Genomic DNA, 9,632 nt, shown 5'->3' on the forward strand with positions numbered 1-9,632 from the left:
CTTGTGAAAAGGGTGTTTTGTTTTTGTGTTTGTTTTTATACCTCTATGTGTAGTTTAGGAACATTCCCACAACAGTGTGATCCAGGTTTACAACTTCCCATCCGGAGAGCACCCCATGCCCAGGGAGATACAAGGCTGGAAATCTTTTGCCTCGTCATCAAGCACTCCTGTTTGGAGAAATTGGGCTGAAATGTCATACCAATCTCTTTATCACAGAGCATTCTTTCAGCTTTTTGACATGGAAATAATAAGAAAGAAAAAATATAGTTATTTCAGAGACTGATGGAGAATGGCTGTTCTTTTTTCATCAGTGATCACAAACCCCTTGACACTGGAGAATTCATTCACCAGTCAGTGACCATACTTGGGAAATTTTCAGAACACTTTGCTGAAGTCAATCAACTTAGAAATGGTATCTAATTCTAGAACCATTGTGCCAACATGGAGAAATTTATTATTCATATATGTGAGTTTCCCAGAAGTAAATTTTAAAGTAATTCTATAGTATAAAATCATACCAAAATTCAACGTGATTTTTTTTTAAAAAAAAGCAATTCTCTCTCTCTCAATGTTTTTCAATTCACTTAGTCATTTCATGCCTCAGTTTCCTCCCATTCATTAATTAACTATATATTCGTTGAGTCTCCTATGTACCAGACATTGTAGTCTAGACTCTGTGGATAGAACACCACAAAAAATGGATGGAAAATATTTTTTCAAGTGGAAAAAAGTATACAACAAACAAATGCATAAGTTAAATATATGGTATATCAGATAGTGATAAATGCTATGAAAAATAAAACAGGAAAGAAAATAGAGAATACCTGGATCGATGGGGCATGGAAGGTGTGCTCTTGCATATGGTATGTGTATTTCCACTAAAAGTCCTGTTGAAATTTGATCCCCAATGTAGTGGTGTTGGGAGGTGGGACGCATTGGGAGGTGTTTGGTTCATTGGGGGTGGATCTTTCATGAATGGCTTTGTGCCCTTCTAGCAGTAGTGAATGAGTTCTTGCTCTGGCAGGACTGGATTAGGTCTTGCAGAAATGGAATATTTCAATTTTCTTTCTGGAATAGATTCATTCGCAAGAGACTGGGTTATTATAAAGCAAGGTTGCTCCTCCTCGTTGGTCTCTCTGCACGCATGAAGAAAAGGGCGGCCCTTTCTTCATTATGTTCTGATCCGACACATGGCCTTGACCAGAAGCCAAGCAGATGCTGGCACCATGCCTCTTGTACTTCCCAGCATGCAGAACCCTGAGGTAAATAAACCTCTTTTTAAAAATGAATTGCCCAGCCTCAAGTATTCTGTTATAGCAACACAAAATGGACTAAAACAGAAGGGGCTGCAACGTTAAAGAGGGCCATCAGAGATTTTTCCTAAGAAGAAGACATTCGGGCAAAATAATAATACAGTGAGGGAATGAGCAGTGTGGATGTCTGAGGGAATGCGTTCCAGGCAGACAGGAAAGGAAATGCAAAGCTCCTGTGGTACAAGGATGTCTGGTACATTCCAGGAATAGCCAGGTGGCCAGTAGAGCTAGAACAGAGTGAGCAAAGGGGAGGAATAGGAGGCCAGATCATATTAGGCCTTTTGGGTTATTCTAAGAACATTAGCTTCAAGCATTAGACTTAACACATTTGTTTTCAGTGGAGTGACATGATCTTACTTGTATTGTAAAAGGATTATGCTCATTTCGGTGTGGAAATTAGACTACAGGAGAGCATAAACCCAAGAGTTGACTCATCAAAGAGCATGAAGTAGGAGACTATTGCAATAATCCAGGCAAAAACCAACTACAGCTTGCATTAAAATAAGACTGATAGATGTTGCTGGATTCCAGATGTATTTCTGAAATAGAGTAAATAGAATTTCATTGGAATTAATGTGACATACGAAAGAAGCCAGAAATAACTTCACAATTTTGTCTTAAAGAACTAGAGGATGGAGTTGGCCTTTGCTAAGTAAGGAGGATAGTGGGAGCAGGAGGTTTCCTAAGCAAAGGTGTGGGGGAGACACCACAGCATCCAGGAGCTCAGATCAGGACACACTGAGTGTAAGCTAGATACCAAAGTGGGGATGTCGAGTAAGGACTTGCTTATATAAATCTGGAGTACAGGGCATATGTCTACCCGGGAACTAGAACCCTGGGAGGTCAGCATGGAGATGGTATTTTAACCCTTGGGACTGGATGAGATCATCACGGGGTGAGCCTCCAAAATTCAATGCCAAAACAATGATGAGGAATGAGAGAGACTGAGGAAGAACTGCCAGGGACCTGGGAATATGAGAGAGAGTGGACAACTCTGTTAAACACCGCTGAGAGGTTCTGTGAGATGAGGACATGCGGTTAACCGCTGGAGTCACGACATTGAGGCCACTGATGACAATGATAAGAGTCTTTTCTTCTAAAGACAATCAGGGGAAAAGAATTGAAACTAAGGGTACAGAGAATCTTTTGGAAGCTTCACTCTGAAGGGCAGCAAGGGAGACTTTCTTTAAACCAACTTTCTTGAAGTATAAGCCATATACAATAAAATTCACCAGTTCTAGCTGTAGTGTTCAATGAGTTTTGACAAATGTATATACCTGTTTAAGCACCACCACAATCAAGATATAGAACATTTGTTTTGTTCGTTTTATTGAGACAGTGTTTGACTCTGTCACCCAGACTGGAGTGCAGTGGTGAAATCATGGCTTACTGCAGCTACGACCTCCCAGGCTCAAGCCATCCCCCTACCTCAGCCTCCTAAGTAGCTGGGACCACGGATGTGCATCACCATGACTGGCTAATTTTGTTTTGTTGTTTGTTTGTTTTTCTAGAGACAGTGTTTCACCATGTTGTCCAGGCTTGTCTCAAACTCCTGGGCTCAAGTGATCTTCCCACCTCAGCCTGACAAAGTATTGGGATTACAGGCGTGAGCCACCATGCCTGACCTAGAACATTTTCATCACCTCAAAAATATCTTTTATGCTCTTTCCAGTTAATCAGCTTCTCACCCCCAGCCCCAGATCCAGGCAGCTGCTGGTCTGCTTTCTGTCACTATAGATTAGATGTGATTTTTAGAGCTTCACATAAATGGAATCATACAGAATATAATCTTTTGTGTCTGGTTTATTTCACTTAGTATGTTTCTGAGCATTATCCACACTGATGTATTTATTAATCAGTACTTCCTTTGTATTGCTGAGTACTATTCCATTGGATGGAGACACCATAGCTTGTTAATCCAGGTACCTGCTGATGAACATTTGAATTGTTTTCCAATTTAAGCTTTTATGAATAAAGCTGCTATAAACATTTGTGGTTAAGTCCTATCCTTTGTGAATATTTGCTTTTTATCAACAGAGAATTTTTGTTTAAGATCAAGGAATTTGGGAGTTACAGTGACAATTGTGGTGATGATGAGATTCTGAATTTGTCACAGTATCTTGGTCCTGCACTGATATGCCTCCTTGAAAAATCAATAAGTATCATTCAGCTATAGTCATTTAATATTCCACTCTAGTGAAATATCATGGGGACACTGTTCTTGCTTTCAAGTGGCATATAGTCTGATGAAGAAAACAAAAGTGGAAATAAATTGGATTGAGGGCATGCTCCTTAATAGGTTGAAGAGTAAACTCAAGGGATTCTTTGCCCAGAGAGATCAAAACTGGTTGCAGATATAAGTTGGCTCAATAAAATGTTTATGTATAATGATTATATGAGGTATATCATGCTAAAGAATAAAAATATCAGTGCTAAAGAAAAGTCGGGCATGCTTATGATGTATTTCTAACCCTGAAGCGTATCATCATTCTGATTATCAACTGCAACCACCATGCTCCTGGGTGCATTATTTGCAAAGCCGGCCGCCCCCTGACTTTAATAACCAACTATCAGCTTATGATTGTAGAAGCTTAGCATGTGTTGCTTCTAGTTCAGCCTGATTTGCCTTTTGCATGATCTGTGATAACTTTTCTAACTTTCTATGCCACCATTTCTCCATTTGTAAAATGTAATTAACAATATCCGAGTGAGATTAATGAAGTATCATGGGATGTATTATACTTCATAAAGGCAAAATAAAGAGTGTTTACTGAGAGTAAAATATTAACATGGGAATGTGAGTTTCCCTGTGTTCCCCAAACTTTGACTATTTATTTGTGTATCTATATATGTCTCTCTCTGTCTCTCTTCGTGTGTGTGTGTGTGTGTGTGTGTGTGTGTGTGTGTGTGTGTATGAAACCCTATTTCTTCTAACCTGCTAGGAATAGGTGGGCCAGATATACTGAGGGAGAGAAAAGCAGTCCTTGACCTCTGGGAGCTGGCCTGGCACTTACAGCTGGGCACAGGTGTGGTTAGGAGCTGGCCTGGCACTTACAGCTGGGCACAGGTGTGGTTAGGAGCTGGCCTAGCACACACTGGTGGGCCATGGTGTCTCCTGCCTCCTGTTGGTCATGAACAATCTCACAGACACAAACATCAGACATGGTCACTCTGAGGCCATCATAAAGTGAGACAAAACAAGACCTCTTCATAATTTTATCTACAAAAAGACAAAAATATAGTTTTTGTGCAATCCATCAAATAGCAAACATCCTGGTCTCTCCTGCTGAATATGATCGACTGCCACTGCCACTTCTTCACAGTTTTATCCTCAATCTAGATTATCTTCCCCATAGATAAGACTTATTCAGACACCTAATCACAGAACTGTCCTCTCTCTGACTCTAGCAGCCATTCTAGAACAAAGTCCTGCTTCTTTAGATCCTCCTCAAAATCATCCATCCAAAGTCCAGATCCTACAATAAGTCATTTTTAACCCCTTCTTATTGATATGTCCCACAGATCTCCATAGTATATGTTTTTCCTCATTGCAGTGAGGAATCAACCCAACTTGTCTAACTATGGCTGTATCCTTGGTGGTCTCTGACTAAAGGGCATTGACAATATATTTGTGCCAGAATTTTCGGTAAGAAAAAGGGAGGCAGGGCTTAAGATGCTACATCTCTCAGAAGTGTTTACACTTTACAAATTACTCATGGAGCTTACGAAACCTTCATGAGTCAAGGAATTGGTTCCCCACTGGCATCATGTAAAGCCCCAAGAAGGGGTGGGGTAGAGGTGGGAATGTTGGGACTGAGCCTACCTACAGAGCTCCTCTACTGATCCCTCTCTTACAATCCCTGCCTTCCCAGTCCCGGTCAATTATAGACACTACCCTGCCCAGGCTCTGAGTCAGCCAGCCCTGGACAGGGCAGGGATTAACACCAGTGTGTGGAGTCTGGAATTCATCTCCCAGTTGTAGGTCTGGTGTCTGATGAGCCCTGAGTACCAGGCTGCAGCCCTGTTCTCTAACCAGACTTCAGCCTTAATTTCCTACTTAGTACTCCAGCCCACTGCTGGGTCTGGAGCTTTGCCTAAAACCATCATATCCCATTTGGCAGGGATTCGACACCTTGCCATGTCTTTGCCCTCATCCGTCCCCTGCGAGGTGGTAGCTTGTTCCCTATATTCCCAGCTGCTGTCAGTGGTACCAATCTACATATATCCTCCAGAGCCATGATGTGGCTGACCTTTCTGGCACTGCACATTGCTCCATTCATTGGGTCTGGAATGGGACCTTTGGCTGAAAAAAAGCCCCCTAACCTGTTTCCATCTGGTACTAGGTTTCTTCAACACTTCCTCTTGGCCAGTGCCAGAATCCCTGGCAGTTTAGCCCACCCAAGTTATAACAGCTCCACTCACTAGACACGATTTATTTATGTGCAACTGAACACCTTCCTTGGCCATCACCCAATACACAAAGTTGCTACAAGAACTAGCCTGCTGAGTCTTCAAGGCTTCCAGACATCATCTCAGATTTAGGAAAGCAACAGGAAATAGGAGGGGGCTGCCTCCCACCACATTGAAGATCACAGAGCAAGAACCACAGCTATTACTCCATGTGCCTAAATCACTTCCCAAAAGCAAATACATGCAACTTCAAAAAAATCCCATCGCATAAAAATACATAAGAACTTAATCAATACTTAAACATTGGGTAGTTACTAGATGTTTAACAAGCTCATAATAAGTACTCAATAAATGTTTGTTCAACTAATAAATAGGTTTGACAACTGGGAATGCTGAGATGTAGCTTCTATTGCTGTTACTCACAGCCACACAGCTAGATACCTTAGGGGTGGAACCGGAACGAAACTCTCTTGGCTCCAATCCAGTAATCTTCGTACTAGAGGAAAAATCTTTATTAAGTTAATATTGATCAACTTATAACAGCACAAACTTCTAAATCAATTTTTTTACTGGGCTTTTATCTCTAAAATTATTGAAGTTTTACCAGTTTGGGGAAGTTAATACTGGCTACTTAAGTACTTAAGCACTTGGTCAAGAAATAGGCTATATGTGTAACTAAATTCTGCGGTAATATTGGGACAGGAACCTGTCCAATACCAAGAATGTATAAACATTTTTATCATGTAAAAGAATATTTAAATATTAATATCACAAAATCTGAACCTTTTTCATGTCCTTGAACCACACAGTAGAAAAGGAGTATACAAAAAAAAAAAAAAAAAAAAAAAGAGCCAAGTAGGGGAAGAGAGAAACAGACACAGAAAGGAGATTGAAAGCCAAAGAAACACCTTTGCAATTCTCCAGAAATTAACTCTGTCCCTCCCACCTCATCACTATAGAAAAGGAAGCTCTAAAGGAAGCCTATGGTTCACTCCACTGCTCTTCTTGAAATAGCATTAGGAGAGATACCTAATGTAAGTGACGAGTTAATGGGTGCGGCACACCAACATGGCACATGTATATACATATGTAACAAACCTGCACGTTGTGCACATGTACCCTAGAACTTAAACTATAATTTAAAAAAAGTATTAAAAAAAAGAAATCTCCAAGGGCTGCTAAAAAAAAATACAATTCCCATTAACGTGCAAACACCAGCTGTGTTGGGCCTAACACTCTTTTACACTTTAATTAAAAGGAACCCCTCTAATCAGATGATTTGATTGCCTTGCTACTTAAAGTGTGGTCCAGGAAGGACCAGTAGCATCAGCAGCACCTGGAAATTTATGAGAAATGCAGTCTGTCCCGCACACCCCACACCCACTGATGCGGAATCTGTGGTTTATCAAGACCCCCAGGTGATTCACATGCACAGTGACGATCAATCAACTGACACTGCTCTCAGCTGTTGTAAAGTGGCAGCCTTGACTGGTACAGACAAAAAATCATTTTGGTTCCCAAAGGTCTTTAAAGAAGGTGTGGGCAGGGAGCCCTTCAGAGCATTGGAGAAGGTGCCAAAGACCAATTTGCCTTCTTAGCTTTTTCCTAAGGATCCAGGGGCCTGCAAAACTCTACCTCCACCAAAATCACCTGAGTATGCAATGGATTGCTAAGGCCTGTGAGGTTCATCTGACTGTGTTGAAATATAGATGATGTACACACAGAACATGTACAAGAATTAATGTAACTGAAACCCCTGTGATTGACTGATCAACTGTAGTGTTGGGCAAGGGACATTATGCAACTCTCCAAGGCACCCAAATTACAGCCAAGGGGCACCCAGGCATAAGGAGAACCTGGTTCTTGTTGTGTTACTGTGAGTGTATGTCAGAAGCTCTGATGAGTATGCTTACACCCTCCACACCACGTAAAAATGCAGAATTGTGCAATTAACTAGAGGATGAGGATTGAAAGATGCTCCTACTCTGAACAATTGAATAAACTATTTGGTGTTTCTTAATCCACTGAAACAAAAATTGCCTAAGCAGTATCTTTTTCAACATAATTACCTATGTTTAAGATTCAAATAAAAACAGTTACTCCAAACTTTACAATATGCCCTTCCTTTCTGCCTCCTCCTCCTCTTGCTTTTCTCTCCTCTTCCTCTTTCTCCTTCTCCTTCAACCTATCTGCTTGTGAGCCTGACTGTCATAATTTTCTGATAGCTTTAATTGTATGTTTTCCCTAAGATGGAGTCTAAACCTCAAGGGTTAACTGCAGTAACGTCTTTCACCTGTGGAGGGGCACTGACGCGCAGCAGAACCGAAGCAGGCTTTGGGCAACCAACCTCCCGCTGGGCAATTTAACCAGAGTCACAATTAGAGACCAAGAGATCTGTTGTTGGGTCTGGTGCGGAGGGAAGAGTGCTCTAATTAAGTTGGGAGCGGCTCAGAAGGAGCAGAAATAGGCAATGATTCCAGAAGAGGGGAGTTCCAGGAAGCAGCCAGGAGGGAGGGGTGGGAACTCTGATTGCATCCTGGAGCGAGCAACTCATAAAACCCCGAACCCTGCCTCCAAGGCTTTGCCCCAAGGAGCTTCTTAAAACAGAGCCAGAATTCACTTCATTTAAAAGAATAGCTCAGCATGTAGCCACTAACTCCCTCTAGCAGAGGAAGCCCCTTGTTTCTCCCTGAAGAATGCAATGAAGGTTGAGCTTCTATCTTGCCAATTACCCCATAATTAGAACAGCTGATGGCATACTGAAGGGGGTGCGTGTGTAAGTGTGCATGCCTGTGTGTTTTGGGAGAGGAAAATCACTCTTCACCCAAAAAGAAAGCTTGAAAGGATGATGCCCATAATTTGTTCATTATCACCAACCCACTCCTTTGTAGGGCAACATGCTTTGAGTTCGGAAGTAAATCTAGATCCAGTCCTATGCATAGGTACCTTTGTAAAGAGGACATGAAGCCAGGTATTTTAGATTGAATTCTGGTTTCTCAAGTAATGTTTAGAAATGAAGAACTCCCTTCCCATTTAACTTCCTTTAACAACAGTCTGTGCCTGCAATGCCAAACTCTCAGTTTTAAATATTTAGTCCTGCTGAACCTGCATTTATTTGTTTTTATTTTTATTTTTATTTTGAGACAGGGGTCTCACTGTGTTGCCCAGGCTCGTCTCAAACTCCTGATCTCAAATGATCCTTCCACCTCAGCCTCCAAGAAGCTGAGACTACAGGCATGAGCCACCACAGCCAGCTAGACCCACATTTTTTAAAAAAAATTATTTATTTTGCTCATCCTTTAGACAATACTTTTTTTTTTAATTTGGTGTGTGTGTGTGTTATTATACTTTAAATTCTGGAATACATGTGCAGAACGTGCAGGTTTGTTACATAGGCATACATGTGCCATGGTGGTTTGCTGCACCTATCAACCCATCATCTAGCTTTTAAGCCCCACATGCATTAGGTATTTATGCCAATGCTCTCCCTCCTCTTGCGCCCCAACCTCTGACAGGCCCTGGTGTGTGATGTTCCCCTCCCTGTGTCCATGAATTCTCCCTGTTACACTCCCACTTATGCGTCAGAACATGTGGTGTTTGGTTTTCTGTTCCTGTGTTAGTTTGCTGAGAATACGTATGTTTATTGCAGCACTGTTTACAATAGCAAAGACTTGGAACCAACCCAAATGCCCATCAGTGATAGACTGGATAAAGAAAATGTGGCACATACACACCATGGAATACTATGCAGCCATAAAAAAGAATGGGTTCATGTCCTTTGCAGGTACATGGATGAAGCTAGACCTACATTTATCAGATAATTGTGAAGGCAGCCGAAGAATCTTGTCCCCATAAACATGCTTTCTCTCCTAGAGATCTCCAGTACCTCATGAGCTATAGAATATACAT

General features: G+C 41.5%; 1 annotated feature.

Moving 5' to 3' along the window:
- Window positions 7,856-8,617: an enhancer, noted in NCBI's record as "OCT4-NANOG hESC enhancer chr2:222917569-222918330 (GRCh37/hg19 assembly coordinates)". NCBI's record gives its function as "activates a minimal SCP1, AML or CMV promoter by ChIP-STARR-seq in naive H9 embryonic stem cells {active_cell/tissue: H9 hESC(naive)}" and the evidence as "EXISTENCE:reporter gene assay evidence [ECO:0000049][PMID:30033119]".

This window comes from Homo sapiens, chromosome 2 (genome assembly GCF_000001405.40).
Source record: "Homo sapiens chromosome 2, GRCh38.p14 Primary Assembly".
In the NCBI taxonomy this organism is placed as follows: Eukaryota; Metazoa; Chordata; class Mammalia; order Primates; family Hominidae; genus Homo; species Homo sapiens.